The sequence below is a fragment of the Homo sapiens genome, chromosome 14 (genome assembly GCF_000001405.40).
Source record: "Homo sapiens chromosome 14, GRCh38.p14 Primary Assembly".
Taxonomy (NCBI): Eukaryota; Metazoa; Chordata; class Mammalia; order Primates; family Hominidae; genus Homo; species Homo sapiens.
In genome coordinates this window covers 54,130,608-54,154,410 of record NC_000014.9, presented here as the reverse complement: position 1 = coordinate 54,154,410, position 23,803 = coordinate 54,130,608, and the positions used below count along the sequence as shown (strand labels likewise).

General features: G+C 39.6%; 1 long non-coding RNA gene across 3 annotated transcripts in view, besides 3 other annotated features; it reads left to right on the top strand.

The window, feature by feature from the left end:
* The window catches only part of LOC105370507 (uncharacterized), a 144,575-nt gene that overhangs the window by 34,044 nt on the left and 86,728 nt on the right, over nt 1-23,803 (top strand). The window lies entirely within an intron of this gene.
* Nucleotides 15,516-15,660: an enhancer, noted in NCBI's record as "145 bp enhancer 145 fragment used in the MPRA reporter construct; PK_construct_1643". NCBI's record gives its function as "activates an SV40 promoter by MPRA in HepG2 cells {active_cell/tissue: HepG2}" and the evidence as "EXISTENCE:reporter gene assay evidence [ECO:0000049][PMID:23512712]".
* Nucleotides 15,582-15,595: a transcriptional cis regulatory region, noted in NCBI's record as "HNF4 motif; enhancer activity is reduced when this motif is scrambled". NCBI's record gives its function as "necessary for full MPRA enhancer 145 activity {active_cell/tissue: HepG2}" and the evidence as "EXISTENCE:site-directed mutagenesis evidence [ECO:0005528][PMID:23512712]".
* Nucleotides 20,166-20,460: a silencer, noted in NCBI's record as "tiled region #2316; HepG2 Repressive DNase matched - State 5:Enh". NCBI's record gives its function as "represses a minimal TATA promoter and a strong SV40 promoter by Sharpr-MPRA in HepG2 cells {active_cell/tissue: HepG2}" and the evidence as "EXISTENCE:reporter gene assay evidence [ECO:0000049][PMID:27701403]".

Here is a 23,803-nt window from a genome sequence, read left to right as displayed (position 1 = left end):
CACACGCACATACATATATATATTCTTGAATGCTTTTTAGCCATTTTAAAATAAAACTAGGAATACATTTGATATGGTTTGGCTCTGTGTCCCCACCCAAATCTCACCTCGAATTGTAATCGGAATTGTAATCCCCAGATGTCGAGAAAGGGACCTGGTGGGAGGTGATTGGATCATGGGGATGGTTTCCCCCTTGTTGTTCTTGTAATAGTGAGGGAGTTCTCATGAGATCTGGTTGTTTGATAAGTGTCTGGCAGTTTCCCCTGTGCTCTCTCTCTCTCCTGTCACCATGTAAAACATGTCTTGCTCCCCCTTTGCCTTCTGCCATGATTGTAAGTTTCCTGAGACCTCCTGGCCATGCAGAACTGTGAGTCAATTAAATCTCTTTTCTTCATAAATTACCCAGTCTCAGGTAGTATCTTTATAGCAGTGTGAAAATTGACTAATACAATAATATATCCAGTTTTCTGTGTCTTGCTTCTCTCAGAATACCTTATAGAAATTCTACCAAGTCACATGGTACATTTAATTGGTGATATCCATAAGAATTATGAATTTATTTAATCCTTACTGATGAGAATTCATTTGGTTGGCTTGGTTCTTTTTATCCACTGTAAAAAATACTACAATGATCATCTTCATGTATTCATTTCATGTTGGTGGTTTTGATAGATTCCAAGGAATAGAATTACTGAGCCAAATTAACATGTCTTTTTAGTTTGAATAGATTTTGCCAGACTGCAAAAGGTCTCAACATTTCTACCAGCAAAGTATGGGCACATTCTTTTCTCCATTAACCTTAAGTATGATATGTTACCCCTCTTTTAAAGTTCTTCTATTCTAAGAGGTATAAATAATGCTTTATTGCTACTTTAGCTACAATGTGACAATTTTCTTTTTTTGTTTTTGATATAACTCCATGGCTTTTTTCATCAGCCAGTTGAAATCTTTAATTAAAAAATTAAAGGACTACATTCACATATTTCGAAAGTTGTAATAGAACAATAGTATAGATGTAATAGTATTAGTAATTTTTAAATTATTATTTCAATAAGTTTTGGGGGGAATAGGTGGTGTTTGTTTACATGGACAAGTTCTTTAGTGGTGATTTCCAAGATTTTGGTGCACCCATCACCCAAGCAACATACACTGTACCCAATGTATAATCTTTTATCCCTCACCACTCTCCCACCCTTCTGCCTGAGTCCCTGAAGTCCACTGTATCATTCTTATGCCTTTGCTTCTTCGTAGCTTAGCTCCCACTTACAAGTGAGAACATATGATATTTGGTTGTCCATTCCTGAGTTACTTCACTTAGAATAATGGTCTCCAACTCCATCCAGGCTGTTGTGAATGCCATTATTTCATTCCTTTTCATGGCTGAGTAGTATCCCATGCTGTGTCTCTGTGTGTGTGTGTGTGTGTGTGCATGTATGTGTATCACATTTTCTTTATATACTTGTTGATTGTTGGGCATTTGAGCTGGTTCAGTATTTTTGCAATTGCTAATTATGCTGCTATACACATGTGTGTGCCAGTGTCTTTTTTACATAATGACTTCTTTTCCTATGAGCAGATACCCAGTAGCAGGATTGCTGTATCAAATGGTAGATCTACTTTTTTTTTTTTTTTTGAGACGGAATCTCACTCTGTCACCTAGGCTGGAGTGCAGTGGCATGATCCCAGCTCAACTCACCACAACCTCCGCCTCCTGTGTTCAAGCGATTCTCGTGCCTCAGCTTCCTCAGTAGCTGAGATTACAGGCATGCACCACCATGCTCAGCTAATTTTTGTATTTTTAGTAGAGAAAGGGTTTTGCAGTTTTGGCCCCAGGCAGGTCTCAAACTCCTGGCCTCAGGAGATCTGCCCACCTCAGCCTCCCAAAGTGCTAGGATCGTAGGCGTGAGCCACCATGCCTGACCATACTTTTAGTTCTTTAAGGAATCGTCATACTGTTTTCCATGGTGGTTTACTAGTTTACATTCTCACCAGCAGTATAAAAATGTTTCCTTTTCACCGCATCCACGCCAACATCTATTATTTTTGATTTTTTAATTATGGCCATTCTTGCAGGAGTAAGGTGGTATCACATTGTGGTTTTGATTTGCATTTCTCTGATAATTAGTGATGGTAAGCATTTTTGCATATGTTTGTTGGCCATTTGTATATCTTCTTTTGAGAATTGTCTGTTCATGTCCTTAGCCTACTTTTTGATGGGATTATTATTATTATTTTTTGAGATGGAGTTTTGCTCTTGTTGCCCAGGCTGGAGTGCAATGGCGTGATCTTGGCTCACTGCAACCTCCACCTCCCGGGTTCAAGCGATTCTCCTGCCTCAGCCTCCTGAGTAGCTGGGATTACAGGCATGTGCCAGCATGCCCAGCTAATTCTGTATTTTTTAGTAGATACAGGGTTTCTCCATGCTGGTCAGGCTGGTCTTGAACTCCCGACCTCACGTGATCCACCCACCTTGGTCTCCTAAAGTGCTGGGATTACAGGTGTGAGTCACAGTGCCCGGCCTATTTTTTTTTTCTTGCTGACATGTTTGATTTGCTTGTGGATTCTGGATATTAGTCCTTTGTCGGATGCATAGTTTGCATCCGATTTTCTCCCACTCTGTGGGTTGTCTGTTTACTCTGATGATTATTTCTTTTGCTGTCCAGAAGCTTTTTAGTTTTATTAAGTCCCATCTATTTATCTTTGTTTTTGTTGCATTTGCTTTTAGGTTCCTGGGCATGAAGTCTTTGCCTAAGCCAGTGTCCAAGAAGGGTTTTTCCAAAGTTATCATCCAGAATTTTTATGATTTCAGGTCTTAGATTTAACTCTTTGATCCATCTTGAGTAGATTTTTGTATAAGGTGAGAGAGAAGGATCCAGTTTCATTCTGCTACATGTGGCTTGCCAATTATCCCAGCACCATTTGTTGAATAGGGTGTCTTTTTCCCACTTTATGGTTTTTATTTATTTTTTTTTTTTTTGCTTTGTCAAAGATCAGTTGGTTGTAAGTATTTGGCTCTATTTCCGCGTTCTCTATTCTGTTCAGTTGGTCTATGTGCCTGTTTCTATAACAGTACTGTGCTGTTCTGGTGACTATAGACTTATAGGATAGTTTGAAGTTGGGTAATGTGATCCCTCCAGATTTGTTCTTTTTGCTTAGTCTTGCTTTGGCCATGTAGGCTATTTTTTGGTTCCATTTGAATTTTAGGATTGTTTTTTTCTAGTTATGTGAAGAATGATGATGGCATTTTGATGGGAATTGCACTGAATTTGTAGATTGCTTTTGGCAGTATGCTCATTTTCACAATATTGATTCTACCCATCCATGAGCATGGAATGTGTTTCCATTTGTGTCATCTGTGCTTTCTTTCAGCAGTGTTTGTAGTGTTCCTTGTAGAGATCTTTCACATCATTTTGGTTAGGTATATTTCTAAGTATTTTATTTATTTATTTATTGCAGCTATTGGAAAAGGGGTTGAGTTCTTGATTTGATTCTCAGCTTGGTTGCTGTTGTTGTATAGCAGTGCTACTGATTGTGTACATTGATTTTGTATCCTGAAACTTTACTGAATTCATTTATCAGATCTAGGTGCTTTTTGGATGAGTCTTTGGGGTTTTCTAGGTATATATATGATCATATCATCAGTGAACAGTGACAGTCTGACTTCCTCTTTACTGATTTGGATGTCCTTTATTTCCTTCTCTTGTCTGATTGCTCTGGCTAGGACTTCCAGTACTATGCTGAATAGAAGTGGTGAAAGTGGACATCCTTGTCTTGTTCCAGTTCTCAGAGGGAATGCTTTCAACTTTTCCCCATTCAGTATAATGTTGGCTGTGGGTGTGTCATAGATGGCTTTTATTACCTCAAGCTATGTCCCTTCTATGCCAATTTTGCTGAGGGTTTTAATCATAAAGGGATGCTGAATTTTGTCAGATGCATTTTCTGCATCTATTGAGATGATCATATGATTTTTGTTTTTAATTCTATTTATGTGGTCTATCATATTTACTGACTTGCATATGTTAAACCATCCCTGCATGCCTGATATGAAACCTACTTGATCATGGCAGGTTATCTTTTTGATATGCTGTTGGATTTTATTGAGGATTTTTGTGTTTATGTTCATAAAGGATATTGGTCTGTAGCTTTCTTTTTTTATGTCCTTTCCTGATATCGGTATTAGGGTGATACTGGCTCCATAGAATGATTTAGGGAGGATTTCCTCTTTCTCTATCTTTTTGGAATTCTTTCAATAGGATTTGTACCAGTTCTTTGAATGTCTGATACAATTCAGCTATGAATCCATCTGGTCCTGGACTTTTTTGGTTGGCAATTTTTTTATTACCATTGCAATCTCACTGCTTGTTATTGGCCTCTCAGAGTTTCTGTTTCTTCCTGGTTTAATCTAGGAGGGCTGCATAATTCTGGGAATTTATCCGTCTCCTGTAGGTTTTCTCATTTGTGTACATTAAGGTGTTCATAGTAGCCTTGAGTGATCTTTTGGATTTCTGTGGTATTGGTTGTAATATCTCCCATTTCATTGCTAATTGAGCTTATTTGGATCTTCTCTCTTCTTTTCTTGGTTAATCTTGCTAATGGACTATCAATTTTGCTTATCTTTTCTAAGAACCAGCTTTTTGTTTCATTTACCTTTTGTATTTTTTTTTGTTTCAATTTCATTTAGTTCTGCTGTGATCTTTGTTATTTCTTTTCTTCTTCTTGGTTTGGGTTTGGTTTGTTCTTATTTCTCTAGTTCCTTGAGTTGTGACCTTAGATTGTCTCTTTGTGCTCTTTCAGACTTTTTGATGTGGGCATTTAATGCTATGAACTTTCCTCTTAGCACTGCTTTTGCTGTATCCTAGAAGTTTTCATAGGTTGTGTCACTATTATCATTCATTTCAAAGAAACTTTTTAATTTCCATCTTGATTTCACTGCTGACCCAGTGTTCATTCAGGAGCAGGTTACTTAATTTCCATGTAGTTGCATGGTTTTGAGGGTTTTTTTGGAGTTGAAATCCAATTTTATTCCATTGTGGTCTAAGGGAGGACTTGGTATAATTTTGATTTTCTTAAATTTATTGATACTGCTTTTGTGGTCTATCATGTGGTCTATCTTGGAGAATGTTTCATGTGCTGATGAATAGAATGTGTATTCTGCAGTTGTTGGGTAGACTGTTCTGTAAATATCTGTAAAGTCCATTTGTTCTAGGGTATAGTTTAAGTCCATTGTTTGTTGACTTTCTTTTTTTATGACCTGTCTAGTGCTGTCAGTGGAGTATTGAAGTCCTCCACTACTATTGCATTGCTATCTATCTCATTTCTTAGGTCTAGTAGTAATTGTTTTATAAATTTGGCAGCTCCAGTTTTAGGTGCATATATGTTTAGGATTGTGATATTTTCTTGTTTGACTAATCCTTTCATTATTGTATAATGTTCTTCGTGTTTTTTAACTGTTGTTACTTTAACGTCTGTCTTGTCTAAGATATAAGAATAACTACTCCTGCCCACTTTTGTTGTCCATTTGCATGGAATGTCTTTTTCCACCCTTTTACCTTAAGTTTATGTGAGTCTCTTGAAGACAGCAGATACTTGGTTGCTGAATTCTTATCCACTCTGCCATCCTGTATCTTTTAAGTGGAGCATTTAAGCCATTTACATTCAACATTAATATTGAGATGTGAGGTACTCTTCTATTCATCGTGCCAGTTGTTGCCTGAATACCTTGGTATTTTTTTTCATTGTGCTATTGTTTTATAGGCCCTGTGAGATTTATGCTTTAAAGAAATTCTATTTTGGTGTATTTTGAGGTTTTGTTTCAAGATTTAGAACTCCTTTTAGCAATTCTTGTGGTGCTGGCTTGATAGTGGTGAATTCTTTCAGCATTTGTTTGTTTGAAAAGGACTTTATCTTTCCTTCATTTATGAGGCTTAGTTTCACTGGTTACAAAATTCTTGGCTGATCATTGTTTTGTTTAAGGAGGCTAAAAATAGGGCCCAATCCCTTCTAGCTTGTAGCGTATCTGATGAGAAATCTGCTGTTACTCTGATAGGTTTTCCTTTATAGATTACGTGATGTTTTTGCCTTACAGCTCTTAAGATTATTTTCTTTGTCTTGACTTTAGATAGCCCGATGACTGTGTGCCTAGGTGATGATCTTTTTGTAATGAATTTCCTGGATGTTCTTTGAGCTTCTTATATTTGGCTGTCTAAATCTATAGCAAGGTCAGGGAAGTTTTCCTTGATTATTCCCTCAAATAAGTTTTCCAAACTTTTAGATTTCTCTTCTTCCTTGGGAACACCAATTATTTTTAGGTTTGGTTGTTTAACATAATCTCAAACTTTTTGGAGGCTTTGTTCATTTTTTCAATTCATGTTTCCTTTTTGTTTTGGTCAGATTGGGTTAATTTGAAAACCTTGTCTTTGGGCTCTTAAATTCTTTCGTCTACTTGCTTGATTCTGTTGTTGAAACTTTCCAGTGTATTCTTCATTTCTCTAAGCGTGTCTTTCATTTCCAAAAGTTGTCATTGTTTTTTATTTATGCTATCTATTTCTCTGGAGATGTTTTTGTCCATATCCTGTCCTTTTTTAAAAAAAATTTAAGTTGATTTTCACCTTTTCTCTGGTGCCTCCTTGAGTAGCTTAATAATCGACCTTCTGAATTCTTTTTCTGGCAATTCAGAGATTTCTTCTTTATTTGGATCCATTGCCCGGGAGCTAGTGTGATCTTCTGGGGGTGTCAAAGAACCTTGCTTTGTCATATTACCAGAATTGTTCTTCTGGTTCTTTCTCATTTGGGTAGACTATGTCAGAGGAAATATCTGGGGCTTAAGGGCTGCTGTTCAGATTCTTTTGTCCCATGGGGTGATTCATTGATGTGCTGCTCTTCCCCTAGGGATGGGGCTTCCTGAGAGCCAGACTACAGCGATTGTTATCACTCTTCTGGGGAACTAGCCACCCAGTGGAGCTACTGGGCTCTGGGCCAGTACTGGGGAGTGTCTTCAGAGTCCTGTGATCTCATTTGCCTTCAGGTCTCTCAGCTGTGGATGCCAGCACCAGTTCTGGTAGAAGTAGCAGGGGAGTGAAATGGACTCTGTGAGGGTCCTTGGTTGTAGTTTTGTTTAGTGTGCTCGTTTTCTTGAATACTGGTTGATATGGTCCCCACCCAAATCTGATCTTGAATTGTAATCCCCATAATCCCCAGATATCAAGGGAGGAAACTGGTGGGAAGTGTTTGAATCATAGGGGTGGTTTACCCCATGCTGTTCTCATGATAGTGAGTGAGTTTTCATGAAATCTGATGGTTTTATAAGCATCTGGCATTTCCCTTGCTTGCACTTCTCTCTCTTGCTGCTATATGAAGAAAGTGCTTCCTTCCCCTTCACCTTCCATCATGATTGTAAGTTTCCTGAGGCCTCCCCAGCCATGTGGAAGTGTGAGTCAGTTAAACCTCTTACTTTTATAAATTACCTGGTCTCGGGTGTTTCCTTCTAGCAGGGTGAAAATGGACTAATACACTGGTTGTGCTAGCAGCGAAGTTGTCACATGGACAGACTCAGGACCCCTGGTTGGCCAGGATGTTACAGAGAGTGGAATTAGCTGTTGTTTTCTCATTTCTTGGAACAGGATTGTTCTTTTATGAGTTGCTGTAATGACTTGAGTTTGTTGGCCTCCAGCCAGGAGGTGGTACTTTCAAGAGGGCATCAGTTTTGGTAGTATAGTGGGGATACAAGCTTACCCTAAGATCACCTGGATAAGTATTTGGGTTTCTCAGGTGATGAGCAGGACCATAGAGCTCCCAGGAGATTATATCTTTTGTCTTTGGCTACCAGGGCAGGTAGAGAAAGACCATCAGATGAGGGAGGGACAGGCATGTCTGAGCTCAGACTCTCCTTGGGTGGGGCTGCTGTGGCCGCTGTGGAGGATAGGGATGTGGTTCTCAGGCTAATGGAGTTATGTTCCTAGGGAGATTATGGCTACCTCTGTTGTGTTATACAGGTTTCCAGGGAAGTCGGGGAAAGCCAGCAGTGACAGGCCTCACCCAGCTCCCATACAGCCAGCAAGGCCATTCTCACTCCCACCATGCTCCATCAACAGCACTGAGTTCATATCTAGGCAGCCAGTGAGCAGAGCTGAAATCTTGCCCCAGGACACAAGCCTCCCTGCTGAAAAAGCAAGCAGAGATTTCAGGCCCTGCCTCTCCCTCTCTGCCATGGTAGTATCTGGATTTCCATTCACCCTCAACCCCCATCCCAGTTTCTGCCGAGGAAAATTCACACTTGGTCGAAATTATTATAGGGTTCAGCTGGAAGTTTTCTTCTCCTTGTGGTCCTTTCGCAATTCCACTGGCAGCCCTCCCAAAGGACCCCTGTCAGAAAAAATCAGAAATGGCTTCCCTGGAGACTGGGAAGGAAGCCCTGTCTGCAGGGCTCTTCCTGCTGCTTTTTACACTTTTTATATTTTGCTCAGTTCCCTAAATTTGTTTCAGTTCTAGGTAAGGTTAAATTATTCTCCCGTGATCCGGATTTTCAGGTTCTGCAGTGGGAATGTGTGTTTGGAGGCAGACTTTTCCCCTCACACTGTGGGCACTTACAGTTTTTTGGCTGTCCTACAGAGTTTGCAGCAGAAAGCTGCTTCTTTCAAAGTGTCTGTGAATTCTTTCAGTTTTCATGTTATGTTCCTGTGGTAGTTCTTTGTGCAAAAGTTGATGATGTGAATCTCCACATGCTGTTCTGTCCATCCAAGTGGGAGCTACAGGTTAGTTCTGCCTCCTGTTTGCCATTTTTTCCAGTTTCCAAGAATTTTCTTATTACATTTATTGACATTTAGATTTGCTTTTCTGTGACTCTTGTCTATTCTCAGTCTATACTATCTTTTGCTGAGCAGAATATAGGTCTTTTTTTTTTTTTTTTTTTTTTTTTTAACATATCAGGGTTTCCAGTGTTGGTAAAGCCTCCCTAACCCTAGACTGTATGGGGAGTCTCCTGGATATTCTTGCAAAATTTAGTTTTTTCCCATTTACATCTTTTTCTATATTTGGAATTTGTTTTTGTATATGGAGTAATATAGAAGTCTGATGTATTTTTTGCCTTCCATATATCGAGCCAGTTGCACTAGCACTATTGGCAAAATAATTCATCCATGCCCACTAAACTGAAATGCCACTGTCATGTATGAAATCATCATATGAATAGGGATTTATTCCTTTATCTCAATTCAGATATATTTGCCTACTCCTATACTCATACCATGTTGATTTGAAATAGTGGTCTTATATTATGTTCTGATATCTGGGGAGTCAGTTTTTTTTTTTCACAGTTTTCTTGGCTATTCTTGGGCATTTATTCTGCCACTTATTCTTTTTTAAAAGAATGGCTTTATTGAGATACAGTTCATATCCCATAGAATCCACCCCATCATTGGAGGCTGAGCAGAATAGAACTCCCACCTCTTGGTCACATTCTCGTCTCCCAAAACTTAGCCTCAGCATTGTACAGCTGGGTACAGGCTGAAAAATGCTAATGCTCTGTACGTCCTCTGAAGATAGGCCTCTGACTAGGATCTCAGGGGAGAGGGAGATCTCTGCTCTTGGTTGTATCAGTCTGGAGTGGAGTTTCTGTTTTCTGAGGTTGTAGGGGAGTGGGAAGGAGCAGTCTTGCTTCAAATACTATAGACTCTCTTAGTTCTTAACAAATTTTAATAGATTTTTTTTTGAGTAGATGTGTCTTCATTTGCTATATGCTCTTAGGGCCATTTCTAGAGACTTTAACTTTTTAAAAATTAGTTTTCACCAGTTTTTCTGGGATGCAGGACTGTGTTGCTCTGTGTGATGTCATGCCAGAAGTTGATCTCCTTTTGTTTATTCTTAAAGCTAATTTTATACAAATAAAAAAAGCCTGTTACAAATTTAATTAGAATTAAATTGTATATAAATTTGGGGAGAAGTTGCTTTTTTGATGTTTTTGTACCTAAAAACAACATTTGTCTTTCCAACTGTACAGATCCTTATTTATGTCCTTCAGTGACACTTGATAACATTATTCATACTGGCTCTGAGGCATTCTTTATAACTTATTCCTAAGTAATTTTAAATTTTTTCACGATTGTGAATGGAATATTTTCTCCATATTGTTTTGCAGGAGTTTATTGCTGGTTACAAATAAGTATGTTGATTTTACATATTTATCCTATATCCAGTTACTTTATAAAATTCTCTTGTTAATTCCAGTAGTTTTGATTAAGCTAGAATCTTTTATCATAAAAGATTTATTTTTAAACACAATTCAACTTTACCTCAGCAAATGTATAAAAATTGTACCCCAAAATTAGAAATTGAGAAAAGTTTACATGTCTAAGTTTATGGTTTAATATTTCAGATATTAATGAAAAGAGGCAGTCATATGACTGAGGAAGCTGTCTGGGCTTTCATGACTACATCATAATTTTGTCCTCCTGTTAGAAAATAATACTCCATTGAGGTGTCTTAAGTTTTGCTTTAAGAAGGCCATTTTTACTTAAAGCCAATAGTGACTATTACATAGGGATAAAGGAACCCTGATGACTGAAATAAAATAGAACATGAACTCAGATGATGAGGCTTCCATCAGTTAACACACTCTCAGTTCTTTTCCTTCAGTTAATTATTGGAGAGGTAAAACTTGCTTGCATTTGTTTGAATGAAATGGAAATTTCAGTGGCTTAGTGAACCATTTTCCCTGCCTTGGAGACGGTCAAGATGCATTAGACAAATAGATCAACTACTAAATGGCAGTAATGGAGGCTGCTCTTCTGCTTTCCCTTCTCTCTGCTCTGCCTTTTCTCTCTAGTCCTCTCCTTTTACATTGTGCACCCACTCCCACCCCAGTCAGGCATGACACATATCAGCAAACCCGTAGTTGAAGCAGATATCCAACCAAGGAACAGAGTTCCTTTCTGTAGGCAACCACAATGTTACATCGACTCCCAGAAACACCCTTAGTTCCCTCCGGGATGGCAACCTTGAGGGAAAAGAGGGAGCTACCTCACCATGAACACTGTCTTCCCACAAACTTCATTCTCTCTCCTCCTCTCTCATTCCAAGTCTTTTTCTGTAGACTAGGAAGGGAGTGAGTGGGTTTTGGGGTTTCATTTCCCAGCCCTGAAATCTCCTAGTAGAGCCAATAGGAAGGTACCTGACCCTGCTATGGGCAGCTTTGTTTAATTTGTAGGTTTCTGTAGTTTGAGGGGATACATACATGGGCTTTAATGACAATTCCAGGTTAAAAGGAAATGTTCCATGCGATATACCCAAATATCAGCAGGAAACCCTTCAGAAGGTTCATGGGAGAGATGAATTTTACATTGAAATTTGATCTTTCTGGCTTATATCTGGTGCAAAAGTTGCTGGGAGAGCGGCAGTTCAATTAGGATTACTTGTTTCTCACAAACTAATACCATAATTTGAGTAAAAACAACAACAACAACAACAACAACTCAAGCACAGCAGTATTATTTGTGACCCACATTTCTAATTTACTAAGTGCTTTCAAGTATATGTTCTCATTGGATCTTCTCACATCAAGTCTATAATTAAGGTAGGGAAATGTATGAGTATTGTAACTTTTTACCAGTATAAAACCATGGCTCAGTCAAGTTGAATGACTTGTCTAAGGTCTTGGAGCTAGTATGAACTGGAGTCAGGACCATAAGCCATTTCTTCTGACTTCTAATCTAGTGTTCTTTCCACACTCTAAATCCCAGATCAAAGGCAACACCCAATAAAGACCTAGTTTGTGTTTAAGCAACATTTTCAGTCATTAACTTAGTGAAAACCTTTTATGGGAATTAGGTGTTTTCACTCATAGGATTAACTTGTGCTAGTCCATTGGCTCCATGTAATATCTCGTTGTGCTGGATATCTTCCAGTGGCCCCTCTAAATTCACTTGCTGCCATTCTCTACCTTGGCCTGTGTCACAGGAAGCTGACCTTTATGGACTGAATCAATGGGTCACCTTGGCCTGTGGCTTGTGCTTGGGTTCCTCCAAAGGGGAGCACTTGCAGGAGATCAGACAATGGGAGCAAAGTGGGTTTGAGAATTTATTCTAGACTTTAGACTCTTTTTGAAGATAGGAAGGTCTATTTGCCTAAATTTTGGCCAATGGAATGAGGGTGGAAGATACACTGCTTCTGAGATCTTGCTGTGGTCCTTACCCGAAATCTTCTCCCATGTACAGATTGGATGTTGATGTTTAGAGCAGTCTCAGAAGTCATGGGTCAAAAATGATAAAGCCTTGTCCATCTGAGTCTCTGAAGGATTATATAACCCCCATGCCCTGCCAATTAGATCTTATATGAATAAGTAATAACCTTCTATTGAATTAGCCACTGAGATTTAGGGGTTAGCTGTTTAGCAGTTAACATTATCCTAATGACTACATTGCATCTATTTTGTTGAGAGTAAGTTGCATTCTTTTTTTTTTTTTTTTTTTTTTGAGACAGAGTTTCGCACTTTCCCCCAGGCTGGAGTGCAGTGGTGTGATCTCGGCTTACTGCAACCTCTGCCTTCGGGGTTCAAGTGATTCTCCTGCCTCAGCCTCCAGAGTAGCTGGGGTTACAGGCACCTGACACCGTGCCCAACTAATTTTTGTATTTTTAGTAGAGATGGGGTTTCACCATGTTGGCCAGGCTGGTCTCGAACTCCTTACCTTGTGGTCTGCCTGCCTCAGCCTCCCAAAGTGCTAGGATTACAGGTGTGAGCCACTGCGCCCAGTAAGTTGCATTCTTAAAACAATAACTGTTTCCTTTAAAATACTGACATTAGCAACTCACACAGCAATGGGTTCCATGTCAGTGGCAGATTTCATGTTTTGCTGATTGTGGATTCATGACCTACTAATAGGTTGTGACTAACAGTTTTAAAACATCCCATTAAATGCATTTCATACCAACATGTATAAATACAGACCTGCCCACTGTCCACTCAAAATCAGTCACCAGGAAAACTGTTAGTTTTATTTACAGCGTAATTTGGCAAACTCTTAATTTAAAACTGTAATCAAACTCTTCTGAACAGATTGATTATGCCATCTAGCTTGTCCTCTTTGCTTTCTATAACATTCATATCCTTCTTGAAGGGCTATAGAGACTGGGAGATACATCTTAACCTGTGATTTTGGGAGGGGTGGATTCATGTGTCCTTTGCTTTGCTTTGTTAGTTTTTATTTCCTTTGAGTCCATTAGCTTCAGCAAATTTCTGGCATTAAAAGTATCTACACCATTTTAACTCTAAGCCCTCATTTAAACAAGATCAAATGTTTAACACCCTCAGTAGAGATCCTGGTACACAGTAAGTCCTTGTTATATGTATGTGTGTATCTCTATGTAGCTATTTATCCGTCCATTCATCTATATTTTGAAGCAGAGTCACATTCTCCTCTGTCCCATGGGACTGCTCATTCTCAGTAAAGAACTGCATCCAAGCTCCATAAAGTACACAGTGGTTAGCGGACTGACTTATGGGATATTATATATTTGAGTTGCTTCCCAGTCAACCCCCTTGTACTAATCTTCTATTGCTGCATAACAAATTACCACAAACTTCAGCAGTTTCAAATATAACCAATTTATTATCCCATAGTTCCTGCAGATCAGAAGTCTAGGCATGATTTAACTGGGTTCTCTGCTCAGGGTCTCACAAGGCTGAAATCAAGATGTCAGCCAGGCTGTGTTCTTATCTGGAGACATGATTTGGGAATAAAGTGCTTCCAAGCTCATTCAGTTTGTTTGCACTATTTGTTTCCTCACAGCTGTATAGTTGAAGTCCTTGTTTTCTTGCTAGCTGTTGGCCAGGGATCATTCTTAGAAAATAGAGGCCATCCTCAGATCCTTGCCATGTGGACTTCTCACAAATCCTCTTACTACATGAGAGCTTACTTTTTCAACCCAGAAAGAGAGTCTTTCTTGCTTGGGCTCTCTGACTCTAGACCTTATTTATTTTACTTTATTCGTTTATTCATTCATACATACATATATACATACTGAGTCTTGCTCTGTCACCCAGGCTGGAGTTCAATGGTGCGATCTCAGCTCACTACAACCTCCATCTCCCAGGCTCAAGTGATCCTCCCACCTTAGCCTCCCGAGTAGCTGGGACTACAGGCACATGCCACCATGCTTGGCTAATTTTTAAAACAATTTTTTTTTTCTAGAGACAAGCTCTCCTTGTTTTGTCCAGGCTGGTCCTGAACTCCTGGGCTCAAGTGATCCTCCTGCCTCTTCCTCCCAAAGTGGTGGGATTATAGGCATGAGCCACTGTTTCTGTCCTCTAGACTGTCTTTCAAAGGGCTCCACCTGATTGGCCAGGTCTATCCTAGATAATCTTCTTTTATTAACTGAAAGTCACCTGATTTGGAAGCTTAACTACGTTTGCAAAAATCCCTTCACCTTTGCCATATAACATGGTGTAATAATCATGGGAGTGGTATCTCATCACTTTTGCCATATTCCGTTGGTTAGAAGCAAGTCACAAGTTTTGCATGCACTCATGGGAGGTGGTTATACAAGCGTGTGAGCCTTTGGGGGTCATCTTACAATTCTGCCTACCATACCCCTTCAACTTGGTTTGTGTAGTGCTCACCCCCCTACCCTGCCCTGCCCTTGTTACCATTTGGATAACAGGATTTTTATGAACATGAAAGGCTGTTGGAATGAGAGAATGATGGATTCTAAGCTTTTTAGAAAGAAAAACCATACAGCAGTATGGTGAATATTACAAAGTAGCCTCATGAGTACATTGCCTATACTGAACTCCTGAGTAGATTGAGGAGATTCCGACCTTCTCTGTAGGTGGTTCTGGTGATAAGTAAGAGCAGATCTCGAGACACAGTGGTGGAGATGAGAAGTCTTCATCTAATCGAAGCAAGAAATTCTCATTGACCAGCTTCCTACTTTTGAAAGCTTAACAGGACACATAGGAAAAGTCCATAATTTGAAAAGACATCATTGTCCAAATGTAGGCTAGTGGAATTTATGCTCTAGTTCCTTGAAGTTTTATCTAGGCCCACAATGAGAGGAGCCTCTTACAAAGTACTGTAAAGTGTGGGCCCATGTGTGTGCATGGAGGGAGAGTGGGACTGAGTAGGGAGAGAGGGCTTGCTTTTCTCAGCAAGAGATTCTATTCTTTGTTACTTCAACATTTCAGCAGAGATGACCCTGAACAGAAAGACATTCCTTAAAATGAAGCATAGATTTGTCAGGTTTGAACTGCTGGACTATTTAAAGTACAACTTAAAAAAATACCACAGACTTGATTTTTTTTTCCCTACTGCCTTCCTCTAGGTATTTCTTTATACAAGAACTTCTGGGTTTTTATATTCCAAGATTACCTCCAGATGGTCTGAAGTGTTCTTTCTCAGCCATTTCCTAGTGGCATTTTTTTCTTACCTAGGGAGAGGTACCACAGAGATCAATGCCAGAGGGCATTATTGAAAACATTGACCCAGAAGGCACACTCCAGGCCACTGGAAGCATCTGCTTCACAAATGTCAGGCTGGGGGACATCACCAGATGTTAGTGTTGAAATAGCATTTAGAAGACAAACATTGACTCCAGAGGCCAAGGGTCACCTAAACAAAGAGCCAGACTGGCAAGGAGGATCAAAGTGAGGGTACAAAAACTAGATTCATGTGGCCATGACTTTCTGTGGTCTAGCTCACAGTTCATCAGACTTTCCAGGACTATAGAAAGTTTTTGCATTGTCTTCTGTGGCTTGGATCTCAGTCCTAGCTGGTGGAGTGTTGGCTGGAGAGAGAGGAAAGGGGAGGCACGAAATGATAGGGCAGGCACAAATTTAACATACAGACATTCAAATAATTTCTTCTTCATGTGGGATCTTGGGGATCCATGAAACACAATCTAAAAACTGCTATACCAGGGGATTTTAGGTTGTCTCACCAATACCAAAAATTGGAATGAGGTTATTCCTTCTCTTTGTACCAAAGAGGATACCCTGCTAAGCCTTTCTGAGAGTGAAAGTGAAAGGGGGAGTCTTTCTTCACTCTTTTTTCTCTGTGTGCTTGTCCGTGTTATTAGTGCCATTCAGTGTGGAGGCCAGAGGATTGTCAATAAGGTAGACAGGATGTATGTTTCTCATGGTGCCTTCTTTTTATTGTGCCCCAATCACACATTCTTTTATGCTTATGCATTTGAGGCAAGGCTCACAAATGATAACACCACGTAATATTTACTTGGTTAGGTTCAAATTGGGGATGGAGTTGGGCCAAGATGGAGGCTAAGAATAGAAAAAGAAGAATGAAGAAGAGATAGCTTTTTACTCCTTCAACTACATATGTTAAGATACTATGAGAAACTAACAAGATTCTGGCTTGATTATAAAATATGCTGACCACCAAGCTGGGGATCTGGAGACTTTTATTCCTTACATCACCAAATACTTTAATATACCAGGAATGGTGAATATCAAACTATCCTAGCTTAAGTATTCTGCTCTGTCTCTTGGAAACACCCTCCCCAAAACAATCTTTGATGTGGAGCAGATTTGTAGAGAATTATAAAAAAATTACTCACCCGTTAAACATTTTTCACAGACCTGAAAAAGTATGAGGTGGTAAAATCTATAAAGTTGGCATTCTTCTTTTTATTCATCTGGCACACATTGTTACTTGGCTCAGGTGAGAAGACTTGTAAGAGTGATGACAGTATATTTGAAATGTTTTTCATTTCAGTAGAATGTCTTTTTGAAGAATCTTGGACTTTCTTTTTTTTTTTTTTACTTGAGTGAAAGCTGAAAGATTTAACAGTTGTTGAACTCTCCAGGCACAAAGCAACAAGCCAGTGGAGGAGCTGAGACCAAAAATCCTCGCGTTTTGACTGACTGACTTCATCAGAATAAATAAGTGGCAATTGAGCTGCTCTGTTCTAGGCCTTTGAGGATGAGGTTGAGCATCCATGACCCCAGCCAGTTTCAGGGTGACTGCTGGATGCTGGAGAAGGATCAAGAACTGTTTACCATGGAGGGTACAGGGCAGGCATCTGTGGGTGCCATCAAGCGTGCAGGGCCTGCACAGTCACTACTTCAAAACACAGAACTCCCTCTTCAAAAATGTATAAGTTGTTCTTCCAGAGGCCCAGTTCTCGGCTTTAAGCCAGAGATGGCATTTAACTGTATAGCATCTATTCACCCTGTTTCTGGTAAAACAAAACAAATCCTTGAGTTTTCATGGGAAACTGCCCCTCCTTCACTGTCAGAACACATAGGTTGGGTGGAGCTGACTCCTCCTCATGCTTCAGGGCTGGCCACACTGGAAATTACATTCTCCTGCATAGTGATTGGCTCAATGATGGACATGTGACCCAATCACAGTGACATGTGACCCAATCACAGTGGAGAAGACTTAGTTCTTGGAGATCGTTAGAAAAAGAGAAATCTTTCTGTGGAGGTTGTTGTGAGGATAAAAAGTGACCTGGAGCTTCTCGCTTCCATCTTGTCACACCCCACCCCCAGTGGCCTGGTGGTGGGGTTGGGGAGCCTTCCTGAGAATGGAGCCTGCAAAGAGGAAAGCTGATCAAGACACAGAGAGGCAACTTCATGAAAAATTGAGCACCTGGATCCAGCCATGACGGAGTTCACAATACCCTTAGATTTTTTTTTTTTAAATCATCTTCTGATTTATGTTGAAGGCAGTTTGAGTTGTTTTCATTCACTTGCAACAAAGAGAGCCTTGAATTAACACATGTCCAGGCAGGGAGGAGACATGAAGCATCCTTTTACTCTTATCCATGTTCTCAGACATATTAATCCATTTTACTTTTTAGGGAAATCCTTTATCTCCCTTAATAAAGTCAATCCAGATTGCCTAAAATTATCACTGGAGGAAGATCTTCACATTGGGAGGAGGTCTTGACCCCTGAATTTTGTCTTCCCCTTGGTTATTTCTTGCTCATGCTACTGCTGCCGTGACACATAAAAAGACCCAAACCCTTCTCTCCTCTTCATAAACACATGTACAGGTTCTGCAAGATTGGCAGTGAAGGGAGAATCTCCTTGTTCGAGAGACTGGCTGGACCTCATAACCTCAATGCCCATTCCCCTGATGTTTGTCTTTCATTGATATTATTAAAAGACATTATTATTTCCTCACATGCTTATGTTGAGCAGATGAGGAAAATGGGCCACCCTGACCTCCCGCTTCCTTGAACCCACCTCACTCCCACCCAGCATTATGTACACAATTGCACAACCTCTCCCTTTCCTCTGACCATAACTAAGCCAGGGTGGACAGAAGGAGCAATTGTTGCAGCGACACTCTCATGCTGCCCTGCTTCCTTTCTCCTCTGCTCCTGTTAGGTAACCCCTCTCATCAACTCCTTATTTGAGGTTTATGTGCTCAGCTTGACCTTGAGAACATTTTGGTGGTTAAAGTATATAGAGTTGACTGTTTTTTTCCAACGAAGGTTTGGAAAACATATTCCAACACAACACCATTTTATTTTTCTTGTAGAGTCTCTAAGGGCAGTATTGCTCCATAAAAGAAACTGGTTACAACAGATTGTTGTTAAGATACCATTCTCTGTGTCAAGGGTGGATGTGAGGTCATATGTGATATTGTCCATTTTAAAACATCTGGTCATGTCAGTACAGACTCTTCTGGGAGTTCTGACATTGGGTACACACCAGTGGAACGTTTTACAAAGAAGTTGACAGGCTCTACTGGATATTTTGGAATCAGAATTTCTGAGGTGGGCCCAGTTACATGTACTTCGAAAAAGCTCTGAAGGTGATTCTGGCAGACAGCCAGGTTGAAAAACGCTGGACCAAGATCTCAGGACTTGGGGAGACTCAAGAGAGTCAAAACTGTACCAAGGCTGGTTTTGAACTCATTTAATAATATGTAGATTATTGCTTTCACTCTCTACATATTTTGGTTATCTATTGCTGCATGACAAACTACTATAATATTTAGTGACTTAAACCAGAAGTGATTTATACTCTCATGAATCTATTGACTGGCAGTTCTGTTTTGCAAGGTGTCAGCAGGGACACTGGGTACAGCTGGAAGGTTCAGAATGGCCTCAGTTCCATCTCTGGCAGTTTATATACTGGCCTCTGGCTGGGACCTTAACTGGGGCTGTAAGCCAAGGTTTCAAGTCTGCTCCACATGGGTCTTTCCACATGGCTGCATGGGTTTACTTACAGCATGGTGGCTAGGGGATAAAAAGGTGCATTCTGGCCAGGCACGGTGGCTTACACTTGTAATCCCAGCACTTTGGGAGGCCGAGGCAGGTGGATCACAATGTTAGGAGTTTGAGACCAGCCTGGCCAACACAATGAAACCCCGTCTCTACTAAAAATAGAAAAAGATTAACCAGGCATGGTGATGGGCACCTGTAATCCCAGCTACTTGGGAGGCTGAGGCAGGAGAATTGCTTGAACCAGGGAAATGGAGGTTGCAGTAAGCTGAGATCGTGCCACTGCATGCCAGCCTGGGTGACAGAGCTACACTCCATCTCAAAAAAAAAAAAAAAGAAGTGCATTCTATGAGAACAAAACTCATCACATAGCCAAGCCTAGAGGTAGTGTGAGAGGAGATAACACTAGGGCTTGAATTTTAGAATCTGTGGTCAATAGAGGCACCAAATCTCAATCTGCCATACTACCTTCTGGTATCTTCATGATAAAGATTCTGTATGGTCCCAAAACATAAAGCATATGGAAGTGGGTAACGGTTTATCATATTTCTTATTGTCTGAGAGCTTTGTTGTCTGCTGCATTCTGCTTCCCAGACAATATCCTCCTTATCACCTTTGAGCCATGTACAGGCTAGATCTACCCGTAGGGTATGCTATTTATTATTTCGAACCATCTTATTTCAGTTTTTATCTTCCTTCTTCTCCCCACCATATAGAGACTTAGGGCGAGTTTCCAGACTGGTAATGCTTGATATGAAATATTTCCTTCCATGTGGGTAAAACAACAAATATTTTAAAGCACAGATGGAAAAATTCATTTATTCCACAAACATTTTCTCAGTACCCAGCATGTGCTTTACTCTTTCTCACATCTTTTTCTCTCTTTCTCCTCTCTCTCATAATAACATAAAAAGGATAAAATAAATTGCAATAGTAAAACATTGTCACCCACAATCGTAGACACTGGTTACTAATCAACCAGTGCCTGGTAGATGAATGAAAAGCTAGTTTTATTTGCTGCTCAGTGGAGCTCGAATGACCAGACAGGTTTACCTATTTGTGAAGACACTGGTGCTTATCACATGTGGATTGCCCTGTGTGAGTGAGAGAGGGATTTCACAACTCCTGTAACATGAGTCAGGTGGTGTGGTGCTCAAGAGCTGATGAGTGAGGAATAGAACTCTGAAGTTTACTCCGGAGGGGAAAATCATAGTTCAAAGTGAGCATGGGTCACTGGAAGACAGAACAGTCTGGCTGGAAGGAGGTAGAGACAGCTGATTTTAAGTAAAAGGTAGGGTGTCCCTAGGGGATGAGATCAAATAAAACATACTGTATAAACACCCTCCTCCAACACTTGTATCCTTGAAGATAAGGGTAAGGAGGAACAATGAGGAGGAACAGTAAGGAGGAACACTTGTATCCATGAAGATAAGGGTAAGGAGGAACCATGAGGGCATTTTGAAAAGATGAAGTCTTAATGGGAAATTAGATTCTAGAGGGTTGGGAAAAGCTATTAACTCCTTTCCTATTCCTGAGCTGGAAGCCATCTCTACTTAACTCTTACTGTATTTTATTTGTACCTTCTTGGGGCATTTATCATTATTATTTTGTATTAGTAATTATCCATCTTTACTTCTACACATGTTGGCAAAATTCTCATCCAAACCATCTTTCTCTCTTCTTAATACAAGACCCTACATCTAATAGGACTTCAGTTAACATTGGGTGAATGGATGCATGCATGAATTGCAACACTGTTAGCTGTGTCCCCAGATCCTTCTCAATTCCTAACTGCTGCCCCATTTGAAGTTCTTGGGAAGGTAAGACACAAGCCACTCCAAGCAGATGGGTGCTATTTATTCATAGTTGAAGCTTTTGCATAAATTCTTCTTAGTTTTCGTACTCTATTGAGCTAAGACAGACAAGATAGAAACCTCAAGAATTCTCTTTACCATCCCCCTCTGATGTTGAAACATAACAGGATGAAAGCAGCCTCTTTCCGAAACCTTCTCTTTGTTATTCTGGCTTCTCACTCAGAGCTCTCTTCCCAAAGCATCAGGTACCTTTCCTCTCCATCTTAGTAAGCCTCAGCCAGTGTGGAGGTAAGAGAAGTCTTTATAAAGAGAATTATCACTGTTGTTTGTAACAAATGTCCCAACCTTGAGCATTTCTTGACCTTTATGGCTGTGTGTGTGTGTATGTGTGTATGTGTGTGTGTGCGTGTATGTATACTATGGCATGGAGAGTGATACAATGTACTTCCAGAATTTTTTGGTACATTATTTATGGTTTCCAAAGAATGTGGTACACATCTTTAAATATACATACACATGGATAAGCGATAAGAACTCCTTTGGATGGTTGCCTGAGTTACCCACTGCCCAATCTCATTCTTAGTACAAAACAACCTTCAGGGTAAAAATTGTTATACATTTCATTATACAGTAGACATATGGGAATATCGTGATGCCTGAAGCTTTTTAGCTGAAGGAGGCTTTGAGCCAAATTTATTCCTGGGGCACTCATGTGTAAATCCTATATATGTGGCCTATACTGAGTAACCTGTTTACAATTTATTTGTAAAAAGCATGTGGCAGCCAGTTGTCTTTTGCCTTTTTCAGTTGGGAAGACACATGGTAACTAGCTGTCTAGATTTACAGATGTGGGTCAGCTGAAGCTGAAACATTAATGTACATAGGCAGTGTGTTCCGTATATACTCCTCCTTGGTAGTTCTGTTCATGGTCAGAGGGTTTTTTTTGTTTTTGGCTTTTCTTGATTCAGATTAAATTATTATTATTTGTATATTTTTTATTCAGAGCAAAAGTCTAAAGAGGCTACATTTTGTAGAATGATTTTTGATACACAGTTTATTAAAAGTATTAACAGAACTTCGTTTTAGAGCATTAAAAAGTAATTCTGCAAGGAAATCTGGTAACTAAGAAATTCATTTGTTTAAAAGATAATGAAGGGCTAATTAGCTGTGAATGTAATTATCTCAGGGAACATTATCAGTTGCTCATTAGAGGCCTTCAATAGCAAGTTAGCTGTTCTAGAGCTAGTATCTAGGGAGTTGGTCAGTCAAAAGTTGGAAGTCTTTTGAAGACTGTGGGCTAGTGGTTTAATATTTCTAGTGGCTAGTATCCAGGTAGCATTAATTGTCATCCTTAACTCATCAAACACTTCTCCTTTACCCAATTGATGTATTACTCACATTATCAGAAATATCTTTAAAGATACTGGTTTTTAAAATAGAGTCTTGGTAATTAATGCAAAATGTAAAGCAATGGTTGCTTATGTTTTTGAGTATATTCAAGTATGTTTACGTGCTTAAAAAATTGTATGTGCTACCCTGGACATCACTTGAGTGTCCTTATATATAAGGGAAATGGGTAATAGTGTGCATATATGTGCATGTACATAAACCATAAACACACAAGTGCACACACACACACATATTTGTCATATAAATATGACAATGTGAAATCATAGGAGTTGGGTCAGTGCCTACTATTTTATTGCCCCCTTTTTGGGGAAAGGAGAAAATCTAATGGCAAAGAATGAATTGAAAGATGGTAAAACTTAGAGTTTGTGTCTACTAATAGCCAATCTAGGGGAAATTTATTTTCTGAGCTTTAATTATTCCATTCCAAAGTAATATTTAATGAGGCTGGGAATGGTATCTCACACCCAGCGTTTTGGGAGACTGAGGTAAGAGGATCAGTTGAGCCCAGGAGTTAGAGGCCAGCCTGGGTAACACACCAAGACCCTGTCTCTACAAAAAGAAAAGAATTAGCTGGGTGTGGTGACACACGCCTATAGTCCCAGCTCCTCAGGAGTCTGAGGCAGGAGAATCTCTTGAGCTTAGGAGTTCGAGGCTGCAGTGAGCTGTACTCCAGCCTGGGTAACAGAGCCGAGACCCTGTCTCTAAAAACAAAACAAAAAAGTAATATTTAATGGATGAGAAAAGAGTAAATGACTAAGGTGATATGTAAGCATTAAACTCTGTCTAAAAGGTATCTACTTGGTTTCTTTATCTTGAATAAACCAAATGTCAGAATAATATTTTGGGCTACTTTATAGAACAAAAAGGTCAACAACGTGAAAGTAATTAAACTAATATCGGAAGGCATCACCAGCATGTTTGTTTTAAACAAGTGTGGTTTACTGCTCTCCAAATGCTATTTACCTAAAATGAATAACACATATGAGAACAGTGGAACAGAAACAGCAGCACACAAGTTGAAGACAGCGTTATATTCTTTCTAAGAATGGAAATGAGTGGGAGGCTGAGGTAGGAGAATCGCTTGAACCTGGGAGGCGGAGGTTGCTGTGAGCCAAGATCGCGCCATTGCACTCCAGCCTGGGCAACAAGACTGAAACTCCGTCTCAAAAAAAAAAAAAGAAAAAAGAGAATGGAAATGAGTTCGTGATATAGACATGTAATATGATAGGAAGTGGAGAAAATCATCACTTCACTAGTTGGATAAGGAAAGCTGGACTTGTATATACTGACTTTGGAAAAAAAACATTTTTAAGGCCCTCTTATTGCACAACTTTCATTTTATTTTGTATGTATATATGATTATATATCATACATATGTATAAAATATATATTTATATAAA